Genomic DNA, 26,320 nt, shown 5'->3' with positions numbered 1-26,320 from the left:
AGTTCGGCTCACTGCAACCTCCGCCTCCTGGGTTCAAGCGATTCTTCTGCCTCAGCCTCCCAAGTAGCTGGGATTACAGGTGCCCACACTCAATATTTAATGATTCCAAGTGACACGTTCATGACACTTGCCACAATAAATGCATTACTGATACTCTAACTCAGCCCTGGCTGGACTACACATGGCCACCAAGCCTAGAATTCCCAGCACCCAATCAGATCTGATTTCATCTGAACCCTATGGTGGGCTGCCTTCCCTAGAGGCAACATTGCCAGAACTATTAAAAACTTTTTCCCACGTGAGAATTTGCATGTTTTTCCATTTGATTTGCAAGAGGGCTGGTAAAAGCTGCAGCCTAGTAGGGATGCCATGATACCAGAGGACTCATTCACTCCAAACCTGCCCAATCTCTAACTCATCTCCTGCATCTCTCCTCTCTGCCTGGCATTCACTAAGTCCTGGTTACTACACATCCTTTGCAACTCCTCATTGTCATCCCATTTTAACCAGGAGGGTAATCCAGGGGCTTCATCTCCCAGGAAGGGGGATAGAGTTTATTTAGTTCTCCTCATTATGTCGTTCCCCACTTCATCATCTTGCAACGCTCTTCGTTCCTGATTATTATGTGCAACCACCGTGCTAATCAGTCTTTTCTGTTTAGGGTACAGTTCCTATATTCTGGAACTATCAGGTTGCACGAGTAAGGATTCTTTATTTGTTGGTGCTAGGAAATCTAAAGCAAGTTGGCTTAAGTAGGGAAGAAATGCATCATATGGGTAGTTTTGTTTACAAATAACAAAACAGAACACTTGATGAAGAGTGGTTTAAACAATAAGGACATTGGCCAGGCGTGGTGGCTCACCAGCTACTCGGGAGGCTGAGGCAGAAGAATCGCTTGAACCCCAGAGGTGGAGGTTGCAGTGAGCCAAGATCGTGTCACTGCACTCCAGCCTGGTGACAGAGCAAGACTCCATCTCAAAAAAAAAGAAAAAACAAAAACAAAACAATAAGGACTTTTATTATCTCTGTAACAAGATGTCCAGAGAAAAGGCAGTGGCAGCAGCTTGGTGATGTCATGAGGGACTTGGGTTCTTTCTGCTGGGTAATGTTAATTTGTCCTCGCATGGTCACAAGATGACTGCCATATTTTGAACAACATATGCAGACATGACAACATTTGGCTAAAGAGGAGCACTTCCTCTTAGTGTCTATTTTTATTGTGTAGAAAAATATTTCTCATAAGACCTTCGATAGACTTCTGCTTAATCCCAGTGACATGTGCCACTTTGGGGTTGAGGCAATGAAGCCAATGCACCAATCTTGGCCTGCCTACTTCTAGGCTTCTGGTTTTACAAGAAGAATTGTAACCATTTTGACTAACACACTGTAGTGGGATTTCTCATATACCTAGCTAAATAGACCCTGGCAGAGCCTTTACCCACAAGGCTGGTTACTCTCCATCTGTCCCCATTCCCACCTCAAATGCATCTCCATCTTTCTTGGTCCTGCTCTGCCCAGGGACTGGCCTATAGACTGCATCACACAGGTTCTCTTGCCCTCTGACATCCCGTTGGCCTCAGCCAATGAGAGGTAAAAGCAGGAGAGGAGAGGTTGGAAGGATGAGATCAGGGTATTTCTGCCCTGATTTCCTCTTTGCTTAGTATTGTTGTCCTGGCATGGTGCAAACTCTAGAACCAGAACTCCTGTCTGGTTGCCCCTTCTCCATGGCTTCAGTCTTCATGGGGCTCTGATAACACTGCTTCTTCCTTCAGACCCTCTAGGCCTTGGAGTAGTAATATCTTCCCATGGTTGCTCATCCTGGGTACCTGGATTTGTTTCCTATGGCTGCTGTAACAAATTATCCCAAATTTGCCTACAGTTCATCTTTTTTTATCTTTTGGTTGCTGATGCTTTTGGTGTCATATCTAAAAAAAAAACTATCACCTAACCCAAGGCCACAAAGATTTACAGCTATGTGTTCTTCTAAGAGTTTTATAGTATTAGCTTACATTTAGGTCCAATCCATTCTGTGTTAATGTTTATATATGATGTGAAGGAAGGGTCTAGCTTCACTCCTTTGCCTACAGATATCCAATTGTCCCACTACCATTTGTTGAAAAGACTATTATTTTCCTATTGTCTTGGCACCCTGGTTGAAAATCAGTTAATCAGCTGGGTGTGGTGGTGCATGCCTGTAATCCCAGCACTTTGGGAGGCTGAGGCGGGCGGGTCACGAGGTGAAGAGATCGAGACCATCCTGGCCAACAGGGTGAAACTCTGTCTCTACTAAAAATACAAAAATTAGCTGGGCATGGTGGCACGCGCCTGAGGTCCCAGCTACTCAGGAGGCTGAGGCAAGAGAATTACTTGAACCTGGGAGGCGGTGGTTGCAGTGAGCCAAGACTGTGCCACTGCACTCCAGCCTGGCAGCAGAGAGAGACTCTGCCTCGAAAAAAAAAGAAAAGAAAAGAAAATCAGTTAACCATAAATGATATGTCTGGACTTTCAATTCCATTCCTTTGATCTATATGTCTATCCTTATGACAATACCACACAGTTTTGATTATACAGCTTTGTATTAAGTCTTGAAATTAAGAAGTCTGAATCCTGCCAAATTTGTCCTTCTTTTTCAAGATTGTTTTGGCTATTCTGGGTCCCTTGCATTTCCATATAATTTTTTTTTTTTTTAAACAAGGTCTTGCTCTGTCATCCATGCTGGAGTGCAGTGGCATGATCATAGCTCACTGCAGCATCAAATTCCTGGGCTCAAGCGATCATCCTGTTTCTACCTCCTGAGTCAGTGGGACTGTAGGTGTGCACCACCATGCCTGGCTAATGTTGATTTATATATACTTTGTAGAGACAGGGTCTTGCTTTGTTGTCCAAGTTAGTGTCAAACTCCTGGCCTCTAGTGATCCACCTGCCTTGGCCTCCCAAAGTGCAGGGATTACAGGTATGAGCCACCACACCTGGCTCCCCACATGAATTTTAGAATCAGTTTAATGCCTGTCTTCTGGTGATACCCTGGAAGGCAAAGGCAAGTACCTGAATTATCTGTGTGCCCTGCTGTGCTTTGTAGGGTGTCTAGCCTATGAGTACACCTCAAATATTTTTATTTATTTATTTATTTAGAGATGGAGTCTCACTCTGTCACCAGGCTGGAGTGCAGTGGTGCACCATCTTGGCTCACTGCAACCTCCGCCTCCCCGGTTCAAGCAATTCTCCTGCCTCAGCCTCCTGAGTAGCTGAGACTACAGGCGCACGTCACCATGCCCAGCTAATTTTTTGTATTTTTAGTAGAGATGGGGTTTCACCATGTTGGCCAGGATGGTCTCGATCTCTTGACCTCATGATCCACCCTCCTCGGCCTCCCAAAGTGCTGGGATTACAGGCATGAGTCACCGCGCCCGGCCCTCCCTCAAATACTTTTGAATTGAATGAGTTATTTCAGGGTTTTTTTGTTGTTGTTGTCATTGTTTGTTTTTTGAGATGGAGTTTTGCTCCTGTCACCCAGGCTGGAGTGCAGTGGCATGATCTCGGCTCACTGCAAACTTCGCCTCCCAGGTTCAAGTGATTCTCCTGCCTTAGCCTCCTGAGTAGCTGGGATTACAGGCGCCCACCACCACGCCTGGCTAATTTTTCGTATTTTTAGTACAGACGGGGGTTTCATCATGTTGGCCAGGCTGGTCTTGAACTCCTGACCTTGGGTGATCCACCCACCTTGGCCTCCCACAGTGCAGGGATTACAGGCGTGAGCCACTGCACCTGGCCTATTTCAGGTATTTTTGTGTGGAGCTTGGAATGAACTTTTGAGAGGTGACAGCGTGCTGGCAGCCCTCGCTCGCTCTTGGCACCTCCTCGGCCTCAGCGCCCACTCTGGCCGGCTTAAGGAGCCCTTCAGCCCGCCGCTGCGCTGTGGGAGCCACTTCCTGGGACCGAGGCCAGAGCCGGCTCTCTCAGCCTGCGGGGAGGTGTGGAGGGAGAGGCACGGGGGGAACCGGGGCTGCACGCTGTGCTTGCGGGCCAGCTAGAGTTCCCTGTGGGCGTGGGCTTGGCAGGCCCGCACTCGGGAGTGGCCGGCTGCCCTGGGCAGTGAGGGGCTTAGCACCTGGGCCCGCAGCTGTGGTGGGTTCGCGGGGTCCCCCAACAGTGCCAGCCCACCAGCGCTGTGCTCCATTTCTCGGCGGGCCTTAGCTGCCTCCCCGCAGGGCAGGACTCAGGACCTGCAACCCGCCATGCCTGAGCCTCCCCCTGCCACCGTGGGCTCCAGCGTGGCCCGAGCCTCCCCGATGAGCGCCGCCCCCTGCTCCAGGGTGCCCGATCCCATCAACTGCCCAAAGGCTGAGAAGTGGGGTGCAGGGCGAGGGACTGGCAGGCAGCTCCACCAGCCACCCTGGTGCGGGATCCACTGGGTGAAGCCAGCTGGGCTCCTGAGTCTAGCGGGGACTTGGAGAACCTTTATGTCTAGCTAAGAGATTGTGAATACACCAATCAGCACTCTGTATCTAGCTCAAGCTTTGTAAATGCACCAATCAGCACTCTGTGTCTAGCTCAAGGTTTGTAAATGCACCAATCTGCGCTCTGTGTCTAGCTGATTTGGTGGGGACTTGGCGAACGTTTATGTCTAGCTAAGGGATTGTAAATACACCAATCGGCACTCTGTATCTAGCTCAAGGTTTGTAAATGCACCAATCAGCACTCTGTGTCTAGCTCAGGGTTTGTAAATACACCAATCAGCACTCTGTATCTAGCTAATCTAGTGGACAGGTGGAGAACTTTTGTGTCTAGCTCAGGGATTGTAAACGCACCAATCAGCACCCTGTCAAAATGGACCAATCAGCTCTCTGTAAAACAGACCCATCGGCTCTCTGTAAAATTGACCAATCAGCAGGATGTGGGTGGGGCCAGATAAGAGAATAAAAGCAGGCTGCCCTAGCCAGTAGTAGTAACCCACTCAGCTCACTTTGCACACTGTGGAAGCTTTATTTTTTCGCTCTTTGCAATAAATCTTGCTGCTGTTCACGCTTTGGGTCTGCACTGCTTTTATGAGTTGTAACACTCACTGTGAAGGTCTGCAGCTTCATTTCTGAGGCCAGCAATACCACAAACCCACCGGGAGGAACGAACAACTCCAGACACGCCGCATTAAGAGCTGTAACACTCACCGTGAAGGTCTGCAGCTTCACTCCTGAGCGAGTGAGACCACGAACCCACCAGAAAGAAGAAACTGCGAACACATCTGAACATCATAAGGAAAAAACTCCGGACACATCACCTTTAAGAACTGTAACACTCACTGCGAGGGTCCGCGGCTTCATTCCTGAAGTCAGTGAGACCAAGAACCCACCAATTCTGGACACACTTTCACCTGGAAGAACGCTAAGTATTCCATTACAGAACACTGAGCTACAAGCAACAACTATGAAACAATGACCTGGTTTAAACCATGATTTATGGCTTACTTTACAGGGAGTCTGGAGGCATGTGGTTGATTCAGCAATTCAGCCATGTCCATCTTTGCTCTCCAGTGTCTCCAGCACTCTAGTCTTTCCTCATGCTTGTCACCTCGTGAGTACCAGATGCTGCCAATATGGCAGGCTCCACATTTTTTCTTTCAGACGTTGTTTCATTCTTGTCACCCAGGCTGGAGTGCAATGGCGCGATCTCTGCTCACTGCAACCTCCACCTCCCAGCTTCAAGCAGTTCTCTTGCCTCAGCCTCCCGATTAGCTGGGATTACAGACACGCACCATTATGCCCGCTAATTGGCAGGTTCCCCATTTCTTATGCCAGCCATCTCAAAGGGGGTAGGGGGTCAAGGGTTTTCTTTTCAGGAAGGTTTGTATTCCATCCAGTTGGGAAACCCTTTCACATCTCACGGACCCAGGTTGCATCACATGACCCTTGACCAGTCACTGGGGAAGGGGAATGACATTACCGTGACCTGGTTAGAGTGATCACGTTTCATCTAAGGAAGTAGGCACACACGTCCCCTTCAGGAAATACAGATAAGCAGGGATGGGTGAGGTAGTAGCTGTTGGACAGCAATGAACAGTGCCTAACTTAAGTTTAGTAGACATGATGCACAAAATGGAATATTTGTAGGTTGTGTAATAACCCAACTTATAATATTGGTCTTTTGAGAAAATGTGTTCTTAGCACCAAAGACAACTTTTGGGAAACAATACTCGAATACAATCCAAAATGCACGGAGTGAAATTCATACATTTATCTTTCAAAGTATACTTAACATAATTCCATCTTTCTTGGGCCCTTCAGGAGGTATTCTTAGAATCTTCTAGTTTGAGAATCAGAATCAGGCTGTGCCTGGTGGCCCATGCTTGTAATCCCAGTACTTAGGGAGGCCGAGGTGGGCGGATCACTTGAGGTCAGGAGATGGGGTTGCAGTGAGCCAAGATAGTGCCACTGTACTCCAGCCTCGGCAGAGCAAGGTCTTAAAAAAAAAAAAAAAATCAAATGTGAACATAGACTGTCATTAAAATCAACCCAACAATCCCATAGACTGTTTACTATTTTTTTAATAAACTTAGAAATTATCATTTCTAGTCTTAAGGTTGAAACTTACCTTTGTTTTATCTGAGTTCCTTCCTCAGGAAAGGACCTCCAGAGCCTCTCAAAAAGTATCAAAAAACTGAAACTCGCCATATCACCGCATTCCAGACAATGAGATGCCAAGCCCCTCATGCATCCCCATAGCTTCCTTCCCCCTCCCGAGTTCCTCTTTTCCCATACATTGTTACATTGCTTCCCTGCAACTGTATAAACCCTTAATTTTAGTTGGTCAGGGCAATGGATTTGAGACTGAGCTTCCAACTCCCTGAGTGCAGCACCCTACTAAAGCCTTCTTCCTTGGTAATAATGGTTTTCTCAGTGATTTCTGTGAGGGGGCAGCGGGTCCTAGAACAAAACCCTGGTGCTCTGGTGACATTCTGTTGTAGATATTTAGAAGGATGTTTACCTGTTAATTTGTTCTGCTATCCTCACAAAAAATGGTATTGCCAGCTGCACATAAATATTTGATTCATCCACCCACCCCTGTTCCCCACCCCCCCGACCCCAGCCATGATGGCACAGGGAAACTGAGGTCGCAGGTGAGCAGCAGACCGCGTCTGGACTCCACATCCCGCGCTCATCCTGCTCCACAGCAGGAAGCTCGTTCAACACACATGGACTGCGTGCCCATGTGGGTGCCAGGCTGCGGCTGTGTCCTGGGCAGGCAAAGGGACCTAGGGAAGATGCAGGTCCAGGAGGGTGGGAAAGTAGGGGCAGAAAACCAAGATTCTCACAGCCCTGCAGTGTGGAGTAAGAGCTCATTACACCTCTTGTCAAGGGAACAAAGGATCCCCGCCAGGCCCCTCTTGTGCACCCAGCGGTCCCCCCAGGCGCCTTGGAGACCCGGCCGGGCCCGTCGCCGGCCTCCAGCCACAGGCGTCGCTGTGCGCTCGCGCGGGCCCGGGAGCCGCGTTCCGCCGGGAGCAGGCGCTGGCGCAGAGCAGGGGTTTCAGTTTCTGGCGCGAACTTCCGCCGTTCCGAAGTTGCACGGTGAATTGGCGCTATGTCTGGGGACAGCAGCGGCCGCGGGCCAGAGGGCCGGGGCCGGGGCCGCGACCCGCATCGGGATCGCACCCGCTCCCGCTCCCGCTCGCGGTCCCCTTTGTCGCCCAGGTCCCGCCGCGGCTCTGCGCGGGAGCGCAGAGAGGCCCCAGAGCGCCCGAGCCTGGAGGACACAGAGCCGTCGGATTCCGGGGACGAGATGATGGACCCGGCCAGCTTGGAGGCGGAGGCCGACCAAGGCCTGTGCCGCCAGATCCGCCATCAGTACCGGGCGCTCATCAACTCCGTCCAACGTAAGGCGGCGCCTCCGGGCGGCGCGGGCCCGGACGGGCCGCTGTCCCCGCCCTGCGCCGGGCGCGGGGGGAGGGCACCGGAGGCAGGTGCCGGGCGGAGGCCCGGCGCGGCGTTAGTAGAGACGCGCCGGGTGCCAGCCCCTCGCCGCACCTTAAATTGTTGACAAAGTGCTCCCACTTTGTGGCTGGAGCCGTACGACCTTGGCGCGGGTCCCCGAGTGGCGGGCTGGAAAAGCTGGAGGCCAGAGCCGTTCGCGGACTCGCCCGAGCCCAGCCAGCCAGTGGGGAGAGGCAGGACGCGGACTCCGCGTGCTTTGATTGCGCCCGGCAGTCCTCGGCGTGGGCTCCCGGCCTCGCAGCGGCAGCTGCAGCTGCAGCGGCACGCGAGAGCTGTCAAATGCACGTTCTCGGACCCCACCCGGACCCGCGGAATTCGAATCTCTGGGTGGGTCCGCGCAACTGTGGAGTGGCCCTCCAGGTGATGGTGTGTATTGCTTGCAAAGTTTGAGAACCACTCAGTTATGGAGCACTCAGAGGCTGCAGCCGGAGTCCAGCCCTTTGGGTTAAGGTTAGAGGGAGCTAGGGTTTCCTTTTAAAATTCATGCTGCATAAAGGGTAGGGTGGCCTTTCTCCTTTTCCGGGTCATTTTGGTTAAAAAGATAAAGATGTTCGAAGTAATTACTCAGAGCGCAGGGGCCGGGGCTTGGCTTTACTGTTGCAGGTGATAACCTTGTCAACTGCTTATTAGTGAATGCTGAACAAATTTCCCAAAGTTTGTATTTTTAAAAATAGAAAACCGTGAGGACATACTGAATGCCGGTGACAAATTAACAGAGGTCCTTGAAGAGGCTAACACTCTGTTTAATGAAGGTAATTTGTTATTTTATATGTTATTTCGTGTTTTATGATACTTTTAATTAGTGTTACATAAGCGCCAAATTATTGACATAAAACAATTCCCACATTTGTAATAGTGCTTTCCCAGTTCGGGAACCGTTTCATTATAGCAATAATGCCATTTTTATTATGCACTTACCATATAATAAGGGCTTTACATGAAAATTTGGGGGTAGGTTCCGCAGTCTGTGTTAAGCCCCCAGTTGATTCTGTTGCCTCTTCAAGTTTGAGAACGTTACATGTGTTATCTTGTTTCTTTTTCTTGTGTTTACTGCCGTATCCCTAGTATACATTGGTTGAGTGGATGAATTACAGAACTGAGCTAGCCTCTGAAATCCTGTTTCTTTTCCTGTCCCATTCTGTTTTGCCTTCCTCAGCTCCCTGCTATTGGTCCACGTGTAACACAATGGAGGTGGCAAAGCCTGCAAGTGTACCTGCTGGTCTCCAGTCTGGGGTGTGTTGTGTGTGAGTGAGTGAGTGAGAGAGATCCCAGAGCACTGAACTCTAGGCCATGGGTGCTTTAAAAAATAACCTTAGTTTGAATTGAAAGCAGAGGCAGTGGTATTGGTAGCAGCTGTCTGTCTGCTTGGTGACAGAGGGGTACTCCCTGATGTGGGTACTTGGTCATAGAGCCACAGGACTACTACCCAGACCACTGTCCCCTCCAGCCCTCTCTGACGGGTCTGTGGGAACATAGGGGAGAATGCAGCCAAATATATCCTTTTTTTTTTTTTTTTTGAGGTTTGAGATGGAGTCTCTGTTGCCCAGGCTGGAGTGCAGTAGCACAATCTCGGCTCACTGCAACCTCCACCTCCCAGGTTCAAGCAATTCTCCTACCTCAGCGTCCCGAGTAGCTGGGATTACAGGTGTGCTCCATCACACCCAGCTAATTTTTGTATTTTTAGTAGAGACGGGTTTCGCCATGTTGGCCAGGCTGGTCTCGAACTCCTGACCTCAGGTAATCCACCTGCCTCCGCCTCCCACAGTGCTGGGATTACAGGCATGAGCCACCGCCCCCGGCTGGTTCCTCATATTCTTAAAGGACTAGAACGTATATTTTTAGTCATTGCTGAGGATGACTAGTTCTTTAAATGTCTCCTTTTATCACTTTATATATGCTCTCCAATTTCTTTGACCACAGCCTCCTTACCATTCCCCATCTTAGTCTACCGCATTTGCTAACTCTCATCAAAACCTTCAGGAACCGGGTGTTTCTCCTTCACCTGGTTAAATCCCTCTACTACCCTCTTAAGTTTTGTCTTCCCTTCGCAGCCTGGACTCCCAGTCTCCTTACTGTTAGTCTTGCTTGACTTGACTCAATTACTCCCTTGATATTTACTGTGCATCTAGTCAGTTCTTTATCCCCACATCATTCCCCCCTCAGCTATTTCCAGTATTTAAAGCAATATTTTAGAGCAAAATTATTCACTCATTGGAGCCCTAGGAGTTGCTCAGCAAACAACAGATGCTGGCATTCATGGATTTGATGGTCTCAGTTTGTAAAATAAATAAATAAATGAAAGGGGAAGGGAGTGGGGCAGGCAGGCACAGGATACTCATGGGAGATAAAGAAGGGATCAACAAAAGGAAACAGCGGGGCTGAGGGGGTTGCTTAATCAGACCCTGCAGGCAACAGAGAGTATGAAAAATAGTCTGGGAACACCTACACCTGTCGCCCAGGCTGGAGTGCAGTGGCATGATCTTGGCTCACTGCAACCTCTGCCCCCCCCAGGTTAAAGCTATTCTCCAGCTTCAGCCACCCGAGTAGCTGGGATTACAGGTGTGCACCACCATGCCCAGCTAATTTTTGATTCTTTAGTAGAGATGGGGTTTCACCACGTTGCCCAGGCTGGTCTCAAACTTTGGAGCTCAAAGTGATCCGCCTGCCTCGGCTTCCCAAAGTGTAGGGATTACAGGCATGAGCTGCTGTGCCCAGCCTGTTTCTGCATTAATTTAAATCTTTTTTTTCCATAGCTTTTCTTAAATCCCATGTCCTCTGTCAAGCCTTTTTTGAGTATCCGTCCTCGGGTCACTACCTGCTACCTGTAGACTGTTCATTTGGGTGGCTTTGCTGGGGTTGCCTGTGAAGCCATACAGAGGCATGAGCCTCCTAGTGCCAGCCTAGCACATGCCATGATTTTGGTTAGCAACTTTAGCAACTTACCTATTGCTTAGCAGCTTACCTATTGCTGTTCACAAACCACCATGCCAAGCACAGGGCCCTACATGTAGTGGGAATTTGATTTTCCTTACGTCAGCACACATGATCATCGTGATTAGGATGGAGGGAAAAGTGAGTATTAGACATGACGGGTTTTGCTCAACTGGAGTTATTTAAGAGATTGTGATTCAGCTAACAGTAGGAGAACTAGACAGAAAGCTGGCTTTTAGGAAGACTGGTCAGCTTTCATTAGAGATTTTGGTGAGTTGGGCACAGGAGAAAGTTTTTTTTTGTTTTTGTTTTTGTTTTGAGACAGCCTCTTGCTCTGACACCCAGGCTGGAGTGCAGTGGCGCGATCTTGGCTTACTGCAAGCTCTGCCTCCCGGGTTCACGCCATTCTGCCTCAGCCTCCCAAGTAGCTGGGACTACAGGCGCCCGCCACCACGCCCTGCTAATTTTTTGTATTTTTAGTAGAGCTGGGGTTTCACCGTGTTAGCCAGGATGGTCTCGATCTCCTGACCTCGTGATCCGCCCGCCTTGGCCTCCCAAAGTGCTGGGATTACAGGCTTGAGCCACCGCACCTGGCCAGGAGCACGTTTTAGAAGGAGATGTGTCAGTTGCCTATTGAGATTTTTTTTTTTTTTTAGTCCAGTGGGAAATCCTGGTAAGTAGTTGGAAATGTAGGGAAAAAGTCTATGGATAATGTGTATTTTGTAATGTGAATATTTTCTTTCTTTTTTGAATAGTGTCCCGAGCAAGAGAAGCAGTCCTGGATGCCCACTTTCTTGTTTTGGCTTCAGATTTGGGCAAAGAGAAAGCAAAGCAGCTGCGCTCAGACCTGAGCTCCTTTGACATGTTAAGATATGTTGAAACTCTAGTAAGTTCAAAGCTACAGACTCTGAATAAAAAATGTTCTGTTATATATTATAATTATTTACTGTGCTCATATCCATATGCAGATGATTTCACTTCATTCTTCTTTTTTGGTCTCAGATTCCTCTGTAGAGATCTTACCAATTTAAACAGACGAAAGTAGAACCATGTGGTGGAATCTTGGGTGGGGGCTTGGAGTAAAAATCTCGTAGCATTCTGTCTTAAGATGCTGGGTGCTATGGTCATTTGCCAATGGCCATTTTTCCTCTGTTCACTGGTGTTCTAGATCATTCTCAGTGACCTCAGACCTTTGTCCTGGGCTGGACAAAAGCCCACTCTGCGATGGCAGAGCTCAGCTGGAATTGAGTTAGGCCTGGCGAGAGGGCATGTTTTGGTCTGTCTTTGAGAATATTTCAAAACCATGTGAATATGATTGGGTTTTGCTTTTTTTTTTTTTTTTTTTTTTCCTTTGAGACAGAGTCTCGCTCTGTCGCCCAGGCTGGAGTGCAGTGGCGTGATCTCGGCTCACTGCAAGCTCTGCCTCCTGGGTTCACGCCATTCTCCTGTCTCAGCCTCCCAAGTAGCTGGGACTACAGGCGCCTGCCACCACGCCCGGCTAATTTTTTGTATTTTTAGTAGAGACGGGGTTTCATCATGTTAGCCAGGATGGTCTGGATCTCCTGATCTCGTGATCTGCCCGCCTTGGCTTCCCAAAGTGCTGGGATTACAGCCGTGAGCCACCTAGCCCAGCCAGGTTTTGCTTTTTTGGTTTTATGTTTTATTCACCTTTCTTTGTCTCTTGACAAGTTTGAATAGTGGTTACCTGCAATTCTAAAACTGTTCCTTGATGAATTTACCAAAAAAGAAAAAGCACACAGAGACTGACCTTGTATCTCACTTTGTTGTCTTTTTAAAAAATTCTATTCTGGCTGGGGGCAGTGGCTCACGCCTGTAATCCCAGCACTTTGGGAGGCTGAGGCGGGTGGATCACCTGAGGTCAGAAGTTTCAGACCAGCCTGGCCACCATGGTGAAAGCCCGTCTCTACTAAAAATAGAAAAATTAGCTGGGTGTGGTGGCAGGCGCCTGTAATCCCAGCTACTCGGGAGGCTAAGGCAGGATAATCCCTTGAACCCAGGAGGCAGAAGTTGCAGTGAGCCGAGATCGCGCCACTGCACTCCAGCCTGGGCTACAGAGTGAGACTGCACCTCAAAATCAATCAATCAATCAGTCAATCTGTCAATCTGAGCCAACCTCTGTCCTAGCACAGATAGCTGCACCTCAGTATGAATATTGCATTTCTAACTGGATGTTTATGTTAAATGGTTATTAAAATAATTTAGTACTATGAGATCTGATCAGATAATTTTTTTGTAAAGGCATGAGGCACCAGATTATTTCCAGTTTGTTTTTCAAACCTTTTCCTTTTTTTTTTTTTTTTTTAACTTTTTTTTATTGTGAAACATAATGCACTTAGGAAAGTGCACTGTAATATAGAGGTCAATAAAGTAACCATGTATTGGGTATTTCTTTAAAAATTACTTTATCAGGTTAAGCTCTATTTTTTTATTTTTTGAGACAGAGTCTTGCTCTTGTTGCCCAGGCTGGAGTGTTGCCCATGCTGGAGTGTTGCCCAGGCTGGAGTGCAGTGGCACGATCTCAGCTCACCGCAACCTCCACCTCCTGGGTTCAAGCGATTCTCCTGCCTCAGCCTCCCAAGAAGCTGGCATTACAGGTGCCTGTCCCCACGCCTGGCTAATTTTTAGTAGAGGTGGGGTTTCGCCATGTTGGCCAGGCTGGCCTCGAACTCCTGACTTCGTGATCCACCCGCCTGGACTTCCCAAAGTGCTGGGATTACAGGCATGAGCCACCGTGCCCGGCCAAGCTCTGTACTTTAAATAACATATCAAAATAAATTCTGGAAGTCTTAAAGCATTAAATATAAAACCTTAAATTAATAGTTGTCCAGTCTCTGGGTGGAGAAGACTTTCGTATGTATAGCATCAAATATAGACACTATAAGGAAAGATTGGTGGATTTCTCTGTCAGTTAAACAGACCAAAACTGCCACGTCTGCCTACAAGGGTGCAGTGGTAGTTCGGGCGGCAAGGGAATGGAGAAGAGCTGGCCATAGCGCTCTGACCAGGCTCTTGTAGCCTTTCTTTTCTTTAAAGTCTGATTGCCTTTAATAGGGTTAAGCTCCCTGAGGGTTTTGTGATTATTGTTTATATATGATATTGCCATCGTAATTGGATAACTTCTAGGCATTTTACAGTATAATGTAATAAAAATGTACTTTCATAAAAGTAAATTCAATATAACACATTTTCTGTAAGACAGTTTGAGATGAGAGAATTATTTGACTTCCGCCAACTCTTCCCAGGAAGGCAATTTTAAGATGAGCCATTCTCTCAGTGATGCCGGGCCACTGCTCTCTGGATATACTGAGATACAAGCTGAATAGAGATTTGTAGGAGGTTGGCAAAAAATTAAAATCTGAAAACCAGCTGAACTTCCTTGTGCTGTCTTGAAGCTTTTGATTTGGGATTTAATTTTATATTTATATGTTAGTGCAGCTTTACTAATACACGAACTATTGGTGATACAAAAAATCCCAGGGGGCTGAGTTCTGGCATACCTAAATACTTCTGGCTGCCAGTGGGCTACAGCAGGGTTTCTCAGCACTGGCACTATGGATTGGCATTTTGAGCTGGGCATGTCTTTGTTTTGGGGGCTGTTACTGTGCATTATATGATATTCAACAGCCTCCATGGCCTCTACCCAGTATATGCCAGCAGCATATCAGTTGTGACACCCACAAATGTCTCCAGGTATTGCCAGAAGACCCCTGTGGGCACGTATACCCAGGTTGAGAACCACTGGTCTAAATCATTTCACTTTCTCACCCAAAGGTTTTAAGTACATTGAGGAATGTTTTCTGCCAAAAAGAAGGTAGCTTTGGAAGCAGGACTTTAACTGTAAAGTTATCTTCACAGTAAGAAATTTAGCCAGCATGTTAAGACACTGAAAGCTGGCTTTGCGTCTGGCCTCTTAAAGGTTGAGTGATGCGGATTATTGGATGTGGAAAATGATTGCATGTGGCTTAACTGGGTTTTTTGTTTTCCTTCATTTTTGTAGCTCACACATATGGGTGTAAATCCGCTAGAAGCTGAAGAACTCATCCGTGATGAAGATAGTCCTGATTTTGAATTCATAGTCTATGACTCCTGGAAGATAACAGGCAGAACAGCAGAAAACACCTTTAATAAAACCCATACATTCCACTTTCTGTAAGATTATTTTAAAAATCCAACAGACCAGTTATTTGTGAACCTTAAATTGCTTTTTCTTGTAGGGACAAAGATTATTTGGTATTGTAGAGGTGACAGTCATGATGCCGTTGTTTGGAGACTTTTGAAACTTTGATATGAAAGTTCATAAACACTAGGCCGGGTGTGGTGGCTCATGCCTGTAATCCCGGCACTTTGGCAGGTGGATGCAGGTAGATCATCTGAGCTCAGGAATTCAAGATCAGCCTGGGCAACATGGCGAGAACCCATCTCTACCAAAAATACAAAAAATTAGCCCGCTGTAGTGGCCCATGCCTGTGGTCCTGGCTACTTGGGAGGCTGAGGTGGGAGGATCACTTGAGCCTGGGAGGCAGAGATTGCAGTGAGCTGAGATTGCGCCATTGCACTCCGGCCTGGCTGACAGTGAGACCCTGTCTCAAAAAAGAAAAAAAAGTCCATAAACTCTAGATGTGGATGGAACCTTAAAGGATCTCTCATTCTGCTTTAGCAGAAAAGGCCAGAACCTCTTTACCAGTGCTCTCCTGGCTCCTTTGCTTCTAGCTCATGAGACTCTGGGTTTATCATCTTTAAAATCCTTATCATATAGGAGGATGATACCTCCTACTGAGGGTATCTTATGAGTCTCCCAACGTCTAAAGTGACATTTATTATAATACCCTGTTAGATGACCACTGACTTGTATTTGAAGATTACTTGTCACTGCCACATAAACTGTCCAGTTCATTTTTTAGATAGAACTCTGATTTAAAAAAAAGATTTCTTTATATTTGAATGAAGTTGGCTTCTGTCTTAACTTCCTGGCATGGTCCTATGGAGAAATTAAGAACAGCTCTTACTGGCTCTTCTCTAAGAGGACCTTCAAGTATACTGGTTTTGTTGCCCAGTAAATACTTTAGGGTAGCCATCTGAGTTGTTCAGTCCTTCTTTAAGTGGTATAGCTCCTGGGCTTTTGTCTTTTCTAATTTGTCTTTCTAAAAACCATTGAGATTGATAGTAGCTCGGGTAGAAGGCCTTGGAGATGCCAATGTAGTAGTGTGGTGTGGGGTCTGGCATCTATTTTTAATAAGACTTCAGGTAACTCAGGTGCCCAGAGCCATTTGTGTATGTTCTATTTAATAGGATGTAGTCCAAACTTCTTCATCTTAGGATAAAGTCTAAATCTTTGTTTTTTGCTATTGTACTAAACTCATAAATCCTAGGTTATAAAGATAAAGCCTTAAACTTTATCTCATCATCCAGCCCAATTTCCAGCCACAATGAAGTACTTAAAACTCTGTGTCTTTGTACTTGCTGTTCTCTTGGCCTCCAATTCCTTTTCATCTTTTCCATTCGGTAAAGTTTGTTTATCCCACAGGCCCCATCTTGGAAGCCTCCAGCAACTTCTCCAGACAGAGGTGTTAGCAGTGTAGGATCAGATTTCTCAACCACGTCACTCCCATGTCTGGGTAGATATCTCTGCCCAAGTGTTCTCATAGCACTTGAGCAGTACTCTCTAAGCGCCCAGGATCTACCATGTTGCTTTTTTAAAATTTGATTAATTTATTTTTTTATACTGCTCCTTGTGGAGCAGGAGTGTTCCCAGAGTAGCCCACCATGTTATATTGAAATGGATCTGTGTGCATAATGCAGCTGTCCATCTACATCGTATATTTTTGTCTCCTCAAGGGTAGGGACCACATGAGCCTTATTCTTGGGGCTTTGATCTCTACATGATGCAGACTTACATCTATTACTGTAACCCAAGTCTGCATGAGGGCAGAATCCAGAAGGAAAAGGAATCCCATGGCTGTGACTTGCCCTGTTATCCTAAGACAGATGTGTTCTGTAGTCCTGGGCTGGGAGCCTCTGCCTTGGCCTCCCCAGATCAAAGTCTTCTGACCCCACTGGAGCTTCCCCACATACATGTTCATCCTTCCCCTGCTCTTAGAAGTTGGCTTTGCAAAACAATAGGTTGGGTGGTGGGAAGATGTCACAGGCATATTCACTGGCCTACTTTACAGGGCAGTATGTAGGTGTCTGAGGAGGTATCTGTGGTTGAGTAAAGCTCCTAGGAGTTCTTTTAGAAATACAAAGAAGGCAGAAAGGCTGTCACAAACCTTATCAAGAGTCTTACTCTGATGTCAGCTTGTATATCACTGATGTCTGGTCTGAATTTGACTATACCATGCAAACTACTTTTAGTTAGTAAAGTTAGTTTGTTTAACAAACAACAGGCAAAAAAAATAAATGAAAGCATACTTTTCATTAGGTTGGGTTCAATATACGGAGAGTGCCCTGTGCCAAAGCCACGAGTTGATCGTCCAAGAAAAGTTCCTGTGATACAAGAGGAGAGGGCAATGCCTGCCCAGGTTTGTTTTAAAATGTTGCTTTTAAAAAAACACATTAAAGTTAAAATAGCTGTTAAAATAATGTGCATGCAATTTGGCCATTTTTTCTAAGTGTGCGGGTCTGGAGCCAGGTTTTGTCACTTAAATAATCATTTTATTTAAGCCTTTAAGCATTTTATTGGATTGGCTGCTTGTCTTTGTTTTAACTCATTTCTCTAGTTTTGATCAGTTCTCCGAAGCCAGGGTCAACCTCAGCACTGTCAACATTTACGGCTGGATAATGTTGGTTTGGGGAGCTGTCCTGCGCATTGTAGGATGCTTAGCGGCATCCCCAGCCTCTACCTGTTATATGCTAATAGCCCCCCCGACCCCTGAGTTGTGACAACCAAAAATGTCTACATGTGACAACAAATGTTCCCTGGGGAGGTGGGGGGAAAGTCACACCCACTCGAGAACCACTGTTTCTAAACCGCCCTTTTGTATTTTGCTATTTTATGTTCAACCTGAAAATGGTTAATCTGGTAATGTTACTATTCTATTAAGAAATTGATATGAAAATGTTACTGAGGCCAGGCACAGTGGCTTACGCCTGTAATCCCAGCACTTTGGGAGGCCGAGGCGGGCAGATCACAAGGTCAGGAGTTCGAGACCAGCCCGGCCAATACGGGGAAACCCCGTCTCTACTAAAAATACAGAAATTAGCTAGGTATGGTGGCAGGTGCCTGTAGTCCGGGCTATTCGGGAGGCTGACGCAGGAGAATTAGGAATCTAGGAGGCAGAGGTTGCACTGAGCCGAGATCATGCCACTGTACTCCAGCCTGGGCGACAGAGCGAGAGTCCGTCTCAAAAAAAACAAAGGTTGCCCGAGTGTGGTGGCTTACGCCTGTAATCCCAGCACTTTGGGAGGCCAAGGCGGGCAGATCCACCTGAGGTCAGGAGTTAGAAACCAGCCTGGCCAACATGGTGAAACCCTGTCTCTACTAAAAAGTACAAAAAATTAGCCAGATGTGGTGGTGGGTGCCTCTAATCCCAGCTACTCTGGAGGCTGAGGTAGGAGAATTGCTTGAACCTGGGAAGCGGAGGTTGCAGTGAGCCGAGATGGCACCACTGCACTCCAGCCTGGGCCACAGAGCAAGACTCCATCTCAAAAAAAAAAAAAAAAAGTTACTGAAACCAGAAAATCTGTTTTTTTTTAAACCATAATTTTTTTTGAGACAGAGTCTTGCCCTATCACCCGGGCTGGAGTGCAGTGGCGCGATCTCGGCTCACTGCAACCTCCGCCTGCTGGGTTCAAGCCATTCTCCTGCCTCAGCCTCCCAAGTAGCTGGGATTACAGGCAGGCACCACCATGCCCGGCTAATTTTGGTGTTTTTTAATAGAGACGGTTTCACCATAATGGCCAGGCTGGTCTCGAACTCCTGACCTTGTGATCCACCTGCCTCAGCCTCCTACAGCGCAGGGATTACAGGCGCGATGTCGGCTCACTGCAAGCTCCGCCTCCCGGGTTCATGCCATTCTCCTGCCTCAGCCTCCTGAGTAGCTGGGAGTACAGGCGCCTGTCACCACACCTGGCTAAGTTTTTGTATTTTTAGTAGAGATGGGGTTTCACCGTGTTAGCCAGGATGGTCAGCAAGACCCCATATCTAAAAAAATTTTTTTTAATTAGCCAGGTGTCTTAGACAAGGTAGAATGAATTAAAAAAAAAAAAATTAGCCAGGTGTAGTGGTGCACGCTTCTAGTGCCAGCTACTCAAGAAGCTGAGGTGGTAGGATCCCTTGAGCACAGGAGTCTGAGGTTACAGTGAGCCGAGATCATGCAACTGCACTCTAGCCTGGGTGGCAAAGCAAGACCCTGTCTCAAAAAAAAAAAAGAGTTCGGGTGTGCAAGAGAGAAGAAAAGGAGTTTGGGTGTGCAAGAGAGAAGAAAACGTTAATAGGCCAGTAAGTAGGTCTGTCAGCTTGATAATGACTTTTTTCAGTTAAGAAGAATGGAAGAATCTCATCAAGAAGCAACAGAGAAAGAAGTAGAAAGAATCTTGGGATTGTTGCAGACATATTTTCGAGAAGATCGTAAGTGTAACACCATTCAAAGTGGAGCAATTTGTATTTATCTGTTCACTGAGGTTACTTGTATTTAAAAGGCAATTTCAGCTGTATGTAATATTTGAATAAATACATATGCATTTTATGAGGATTCTTCTCCCCTTTAGAAATTTCATGTGAAAACTTTGAAGTTAACGTTTTCATTTTTATCTTTAAAAGATGGGGATTTTTTTTGTTACAAAATGAAATATGCCATTCAAGTGAGAAATGTCAAAAGTAGCTGTTCCACCTCCCCTCATTATAAAATGTAATGTGTATATTTTCAGATTATTTTATCAGTTTTATACACACCTACCTAAATAGTTTGTTTTGGCCGGGCGTGGTGGCTCACACCTGTAATCCCAGCACTTTGGGAGGCTGAGGTTGGGAGTTCGATACCCGCCTGACCAACATGGAGAAACCTCATCTCTACTAAAAATACAAAATTAACCGGGTGTGGTAGTGCATTCCTGTAATCCCAGCTACTTGGGAGGCTGAGGCAGGAGAATCGCTTGAACCCGGGAGACAGAGGTTGCGGTGAGCCAAGATCACGCCATTGCACTCTAGCCTGGGCAACAAGAGCGAAACTACATCTGAAAAAAAAAAGTTTGTTTTTTTCTTTTTTTCCAAGCTAATCATAATATGCACATTCTTCTGCTACGTGACTTTTCCATGTGGACATTCTTCCACATCATTTCATATAGATCTCCCTTGTTTTGTTCACTGATTCCCATTATATGGCTGTACTGTAAATATATTTAACAGATCCTCCATTAATGGATGATTAAGTTCCTTTTTTTTTTTTTTGAGACAGAGTCTCGCTCTGTCGCCCAGGCTGGAGTGCAGTGGCGCGATCTTGGCTCACTGCAACCTCTCCCTCCTGGGTTCACGCCATTCTCCTGCCTCAGCCTCCCAAGTAGCTGGGACTACAGGCACCCGCCACCACGCCTGGCTAATTCTTTTGTACTTTTAGTAGAACCTGGGTTTCACCGTGTTAGCCAGGATGGTCTTGATCTCCTGACCTTGTGATCCACCCACCTCGGCCTCCCAAAGTGCTGGGATTACAGGCATGAGCCACCGCGCCCGGCCAAGTTCCTATTTTTTTTTTTTTTTTTTAGGAGACAGTCTCACTCTTTCGCCCAGACTGGAATGCAGTGGCACCATCTCAACTCACTGCAACCTCCACCTCCTGGATTCAAGCAATTCTCCTGCCTCAGCCTCCTGAGTAGCTGGGATTACAGGCGCACGCGCCACCACATCTGGCTAATTTTTTTTCTGTATTTTTAGTAGAGACATTGTTTCGCCATGTTGGCCAAGCTAGTCTTGAACCCCTGACCTCAGGTGATCTGCCAGCATCGGCCTCCCAAAGTGCTGGGATTACAGGTGTGAGTGCCATGCCCAGCTGGATGATTAAGTTCTTTATAGCATTTTACTCTTGTATAAATTGCTGAAGTAAAAAATCTTAGTATGTAATTTTGTGCAGTTACACTTGTATTTCTGTAGCACAGCTTCTTAGAGGTGGTTTCCAGGTCAGTGGGCATACATGTTTTTAGTAGAGATGCCAAATTGGCCTCCAGAAGGGTTGGATTGATTTGCACTCCTGCAGCAGGAATGAGTACACATCCTTTCTTTGTCTCTGGCTAACGCTAGAGTGTACTGATATTAATGACAAGCAAAAATCAATTTTTTTTTCTCTTTTTGTCTATAGCTGATACCCCAATGTCCTTCTTTGACTTTGTGGTTGATCCTCATTCTTTCCCCCGTACAGTGGAAAACATCTTTCATGTTTCCTTCATTATACGGGTAAGATTAAAGATTATTTTTCTAATTGCTTTTATATGCTTTTAAAAGGCTACATAAGAAAAGCTGTAGAAGGGAGCTGGCAAAGGTATCTGTATACACTAGCCAGTATATGTTTCAGACCCATTGTAGCAAAACATTAATTGGCATATTAGGTAGAAGAAGCTAGCTAAAATTTTATATGCTTGCTTTTATGTTTTAGAAATTATTTAGAGAAAGAATTGGAAAAATTTGAATATGGAACTTTAGATTAGATAACAGTATGGTATAAATGTTAAATTTCCTGCATTTGATAGTTGTCATGTTGTATAATATCCTTGTTCTCAAGAAATACACACTGAAAGATTAGGGAAAAGAAGCAGGCCGCCTATCATTCTCACTTCATTCATAAATAATAATATGTAGAGTGATAAAGTAAACGTGGTAACTAACACTTTAACGACTGATGAATATGGGTAAAGGATATATGCCACGTGTTTATAGTAGTCTTATAGCCCTTTAAGTCTGAAATTATTTCAAAATTGGTTTTAAAACTCTACTCAGATATGTACCATGGAAATTTGCTTTAGACTATCTTTAATCTTACTTCAGGTTGCATTCCCACATGTAAGATGAATTTGATTATAACCTTAGAGAAAACCTATGTCTACCAACGTATTTTCTCAGAAATAATAACAAAGGCATATTTTGCCAGTGGTCCCAGTGACAGAATTATGCAGAATAAAATGTGGAGTATTCCAAAATATGTATAAATCAGTTAAAGAGACAAGATGAGTTTCACTTAAGAGATTCTCAGGATGGAGGCTGTGTCTGGGTGAAAGAGCTGATTAGAAACCCAAAGATACCCTGTGTAAATAAAAGATACTAGGGAAGTCTTATCTATATCATCACCTTATTATTGCTATGGTGTAATTTGATTTTCTGAGATACTGAATTTTCTGAGTAATTTTTTCCATCTAGTGCGTATAGGTTTGAGTCTTAAATGTTTGTCTTCTCCTAAAATCATGTTTTCGTTTTAGGATGGTTTTGCAAGAATAAGACTTGACCAAGACCGACTGCCAGTAATAGGTAAATGATACTATGTTTGGAAAAATTAGTTTTAGAGAAAATATATTTGTTAGTAGAATTTAAGTATTTTACTAAATGTAAATGAATTTTCAATGTAGATTAACTTTTACAATATTGTATCTTGCTCAACTACCTGAAGATACTGAAAACATGGCCAGCGTCTAAAATTTTGATGGATTCATCTATATCATTGATTCAACATCTGCTGTAAATATTAACAAAGAAATGATATAATTTCCCTCAGATCTTAATTTAGAAAGTTGGTGATTGCAGTCATTTTTGTAGTATCCCTCTTTCTAATCACGTTTTGTCAGATGCCGGCACCTTCTTTTCTCTTTGAGGTTCTATGAATCTTTCATTCTTACCTGAATAATTTCACACTCTCCATTACTCATGTCCTCCTAAGGTCTCCTGTGGAGAGTGAATATTTCCATCGCACTTACTTGCTACTTTCAATGTTCTCAATGTCCTATTGGACTCACTAGGGCTTAGCTCTGTGGTTGACACATAGATATGCAGATTTTCAAATGTCTGGAATGTGTTACTCTACTACATGTTTTTTGAAATGGAAACAGATGGAATGACTGGCTACTGTAATAATACTACAGCAGCTCCATAATGCATGAAATCCTAAAAAGTATGTAATATTATAAGTATCTTTTCAATACAGGTTTCATTGCTATTATTCATCAGTTTCCGTTTAGATTACCTGTTCCGATTTAATAACCTTTGATAAATTTGAAAAATTTGTCTTTCAAACAGAGCCTGTTAGTATTAATGAAGAAAATGAGGGATTTGAACATAACACACAAGTTAGAAATCAAGGAATTATAGCTTTGAGTTACCGTGACTGGGAGGTAAAGCTCTGCCTGTTGCCCCTGCATAGTTCTGACTCTGCCTTCACTTGCAGTAAGCCCAGTGCCTAAATGTTCATTATTGTCTGCCAGGAGATTGTGAAGACCTTTGAGATTTCAGAGCCTGTGATTACTCCAAGTCAGAGGCAGCAGAAGCCAAGTGCTTGATGCTAGCTGAAGGTAACCTTTTCAATGGGATGGCTACACAGTTCTATTAAAGTTCATTTGGCAATCCAAAGTATCCCTTTTCCCCATTCCAGTGAAATTTGAATTTTTGCCTCCCTGTAGTGCCCCATTCTTAGAACTGTGTGTAACAGGTGAGAAAGGGATAGTGGTTCTGCGTTCCCTTCTCTGGATTGATTAAATTTGTGCTGTTAAGATTTGCAGCTGAGGCCAGGCGTGGTGGCTCACGCCTGTAATCCCAGCACTTTGGGAGGCCAAGGCAAGCGGATCATGAGGTCAGGAGTTCGAGATCAGCCTGACCAACATGGTAAAACCCCATCTCTACTAAAAATACAAAAATTAGCTGGGCGTGGTGGCATGCACCTGTAATCCCAGCTACTCAGGAGGCTGAGGCAGGAGAATTGCTTGAACCCGGGAGGTGGAGGTTGCAGTGGCTGAGATCGTGCCACTGCACTCCAGCCTGGGAGACAGAGCAAGACTCTGTCTCAAAAAAAAGACTTGCAGCTGAAAGAAGCAGTGCAGGATTGTTCTTGGTTTGGTGGGTTTTGTTTTTGTTTTTGTTTTTAATAAAAAATAGGGAAGGGGTCTCACTATGTTGCCCAGGCTGGTCTCAAACTCCTGGGCTCAAGGGATGCTCCCATCTCAGCTTCCCAAAGTGCTGGGATTATAGGTATGAGTCACCATACCCAGCTGCTGCTTTTCCCCCAACAAACTGGTAAATTAGATAAGTGAAATATTGAATCCTCTCATCCATGTTGTTGTTCACCATCCCATTAGATTTGCTTATTTTATAAGTACAAAGCAGAAAAAGAGGATTAGGATAGAATTACCTTAGAATAATCTTGGTAAATTGGCATTTCTAAAATTTGTATTAGGCTATGAAAGAATTCTTCTTCATTTTTATGAAGGGTAACATTTCTAGAAAGAAATCTTAATAATGATCTGACATTTTGTAGTGCAGACAGTTGTGGGTGGGAATCAGAAGACCTAGATTCTATCGGCTATGCCCCTTACTTTATTTATTTATTTTTGCCCCTTACTTTAAAACCTTGGGCAAGTCACTTAATCTCACCCAACTTCTCTTTTTTTTTGAGACAGAGTCTTGCTCTGTCACCCCCAGGCTAGAGTGCAGTGGCACGATCTCAGTTCACTGTAATCTCTGCCTCCCCGGTTCAAGCAATTCTCCTGCTTCAGCCTCCTGAGTAGCTGGGATTATAGGCACCTGCCACAGTGACCAGCTAATTTTTCTATTTTTAGTAGAGACGGGATTTCACCATGTTGGTCAGGCTGGTCTTGAACTCCTGACCTTGTGGTCCGCCCGCCTCGGCCTCCCAAAGTGCTGGGATTACAGACATGAGCCACCACGCCTGGCTTCAACTTTATTTTTTTTTAATCTATAAATATATCTATAAAATGGAAAGATTTTCAAGCTAGATCATTGCTAAGAATTTTTTTTCTAGCTCAAATTTTCTGATTTTGAGCATTAAAATAAACTTTTTTGTACTTAATGTAAGCACTTAATATGTGCTTCAATTAATTGAAATACTTTTGTTCCAAGTTGTAAAAATATTTTAAATGAAGGGAATAGGCCGGGCGCAGTGGCTCACACCAGTAATCTCAGCACTTTGGGAGGGCGAGGCAGGCGGACCACGACGTCAGGAGATTGAGACCATCCTGGCTAACACGGTGAAACCCCGTCTCTACTAAAAGTACAAAAAAATTAGCTGGGCGTGGTGGTGGGCGCCTGTAGTTCCAGCTACTCAGGAGGCTGAGGCAGGAGAATGGCGTGAACCTGGGAGGCAGAGCTTGCAGTGAGCCTGAGATTGTGCCACTGCACTCCAGCCTGGGCGACAGAGCGAAACTCTGTCTCAAAAAAAAAAAAAAAAAAAAAGAAAAAAGAAGAAGGGAATAAATATGGAATAAATTTAAGATATATAATGTGGATTAACCTGGGCCCTACTCACTGAGGAGGGCTAATTGTTGGATTTAATTTATGTATATTATATGAACTTTTGGTTTATCATTTATAAACTGTTAACCAGCTATTCTTCCCCTTTTTAGGACTCAAATGGATAGTGAAGTCCAAAACGGAAAGCGGCATGTATCGTACATATTGTATGATTCAACATTTTTAAAGGCAGATTGTTTTTAGTAAAATGTAGCTTTTGATAGTTAATAAATTTGTCATGGTTGTCTTTGATTAAAGGAAACTCACCGCCATATTCACAAATAATTGTAGTTGCTCTTTATTTTCTAATTATTGGAGAGTGTCTCCTTTGTCTATTCCTGTCCCAGTGAAAGTTTTACTTAGGTTGTTAATGCCCTGCGGACCATTATGATTCCTTTTACTTCTTTTTTGCCACGAAGCTAGCTAGTCAAGTCAACAAATAGGTTGTATCATATGAAACTGTTGTTTTTATAGGTAAAATACGGTCAAATATGAGTAATTTCCTATGATTCAGCCTCTGATTTACACACAAGAAACTATTAAATCCTCTGGCAAGCCAGGCTGGACTACTTTCCCCAGCAACATCAGCCCTGGTTCCATCTTACCAGCATGCTACTCCATGCTTCTCATCTCGGCTATGCTTTCAAGTCTAGTCAGTTTCTTCTCCCAGTTCCCACTTTGCTATTTCATGTTTTCTCACTGCTTCCCTCTGGCATCAGGGGTAGAGGCGTCTTTTCTGTGGAAGACTCTGGGCTCCAGTGCTTCCTGCCTCCTAGGGGAGCCTGCTCTCTCAGTCATCCCCTTCACCTGTATCTGGAGTTTTCCCTTCAACCAAGCCCATCTCTGATTTTAAAAACATTACCATGACCCTCTTCAAGCTGCTATCCTATCACCTCTTTAATGAGAATCACTTGTCTCCCCTCATGTCAGTCCGTGGCAGTGTGGCACCTCC

General features: G+C 45.2%; 1 protein-coding gene and 1 long non-coding RNA gene across 10 annotated transcripts, besides 3 other annotated features; one reads left to right on the top strand and one right to left on the bottom strand.

Annotated features, from left to right (window-relative positions):
- Positions 1-4,963: 4,963 nt before the first annotated feature.
- On the bottom strand, positions 4,964-7,874 carry LOC124902517 (uncharacterized). The gene is made up of 2 exons (XR_007062322.1): positions 6,586-7,874; positions 4,964-6,453 (listed from the first exon to the last, which is right to left on the bottom strand). It is a non-coding gene; the product is annotated as an uncharacterized LOC124902517 (long non-coding RNA).
- Positions 7,090-7,885: an enhancer, noted in NCBI's record as "NANOG-H3K27ac hESC enhancer chr10:123734371-123735166 (GRCh37/hg19 assembly coordinates)". NCBI's record gives its function as "activates a minimal SCP1, AML or CMV promoter by ChIP-STARR-seq in naive H9 embryonic stem cells {active_cell/tissue: H9 hESC(naive)}" and the evidence as "EXISTENCE:reporter gene assay evidence [ECO:0000049][PMID:30033119]".
- Positions 7,090-8,122: a biological region, named in NCBI's record as "NANOG-H3K27ac hESC enhancer GRCh37_chr10:123734371-123735166".
- Positions 7,323-8,122: a silencer, noted in NCBI's record as "silent region_2888". NCBI's record gives its function as "represses an Ori minimal core promoter by ATAC-STARR-seq in GM12878 lymphoblastoid cells {active_cell/tissue: GM12878}" and the evidence as "EXISTENCE:reporter gene assay evidence [ECO:0000049][PMID:35858748]".
- NSMCE4A (NSE4A component of SMC5/6 complex) lies at positions 7,524-25,650 on the top strand. 9 transcript variants are annotated; one of them, NM_001167865.2, is made up of 11 exons: positions 7,524-7,867; positions 8,660-8,737; positions 11,672-11,802; positions 14,935-15,086; positions 17,356-17,455; positions 19,413-19,503; positions 21,224-21,318; positions 22,335-22,383; positions 23,146-23,240; positions 23,334-23,417; positions 25,482-25,650. In NM_001167865.2, exons 1-10 carry the CDS (start codon positions 7,576-7,578, stop codon positions 23,403-23,405), a joined length of 1,155 nt encoding a protein of 384 aa, NP_001161337.1. In that variant the 5' UTR covers positions 7,524-7,575; the 3' UTR covers positions 23,406-23,417; positions 25,482-25,650. The 9 variants fall into 9 exon arrangements, 8 of the variants coding, with proteins under 8 accessions (NP_001161337.1, NP_060085.2, XP_047281355.1 ...); NM_017615.3 differs by having other exon boundaries at positions 23,331-23,417; XM_011539910.3 differs by lacking the exon at positions 7,524-7,867 and adding an exon at positions 7,936-8,312 and having other exon boundaries at positions 23,331-23,417.
- Positions 25,651-26,320: the final 670 nt, after the last annotated feature.

Source organism: Homo sapiens, chromosome 10 (assembly GCF_000001405.40).
Source record: "Homo sapiens chromosome 10, GRCh38.p14 Primary Assembly".
NCBI classification, from domain to species: domain Eukaryota; kingdom Metazoa; phylum Chordata; class Mammalia; order Primates; family Hominidae; genus Homo; species Homo sapiens.
Note: the sequence above shows the minus strand (reverse complement) of the source record. Positions and strands in the feature narration are given on the sequence as shown.

What these genes read in the sequence shown, in the direction of transcription:
- NSMCE4A (NM_017615.3), top strand. Translation starts at nt 7,576, where the DNA reads ATGTCTGGGGACAGCAGCGGCCGCGGGCCAGAGGGCCGGGGCCGGGGC. An exon ending in AGAGGGCAATGCCTGCCCAG is followed by an intron (nt 17,456 to 19,412) that starts GTTTGTTTTAAA and finishes GACTTTTTTCAG; the next exon opens with TTAAGAAGAATGGAAGAATC. An exon ending in GACATATTTTCGAGAAGATC is followed by an intron (nt 19,504 to 21,223) that starts GTAAGTGTAACA and finishes TTTTGTCTATAG; the next exon opens with CTGATACCCCAATGTCCTTC.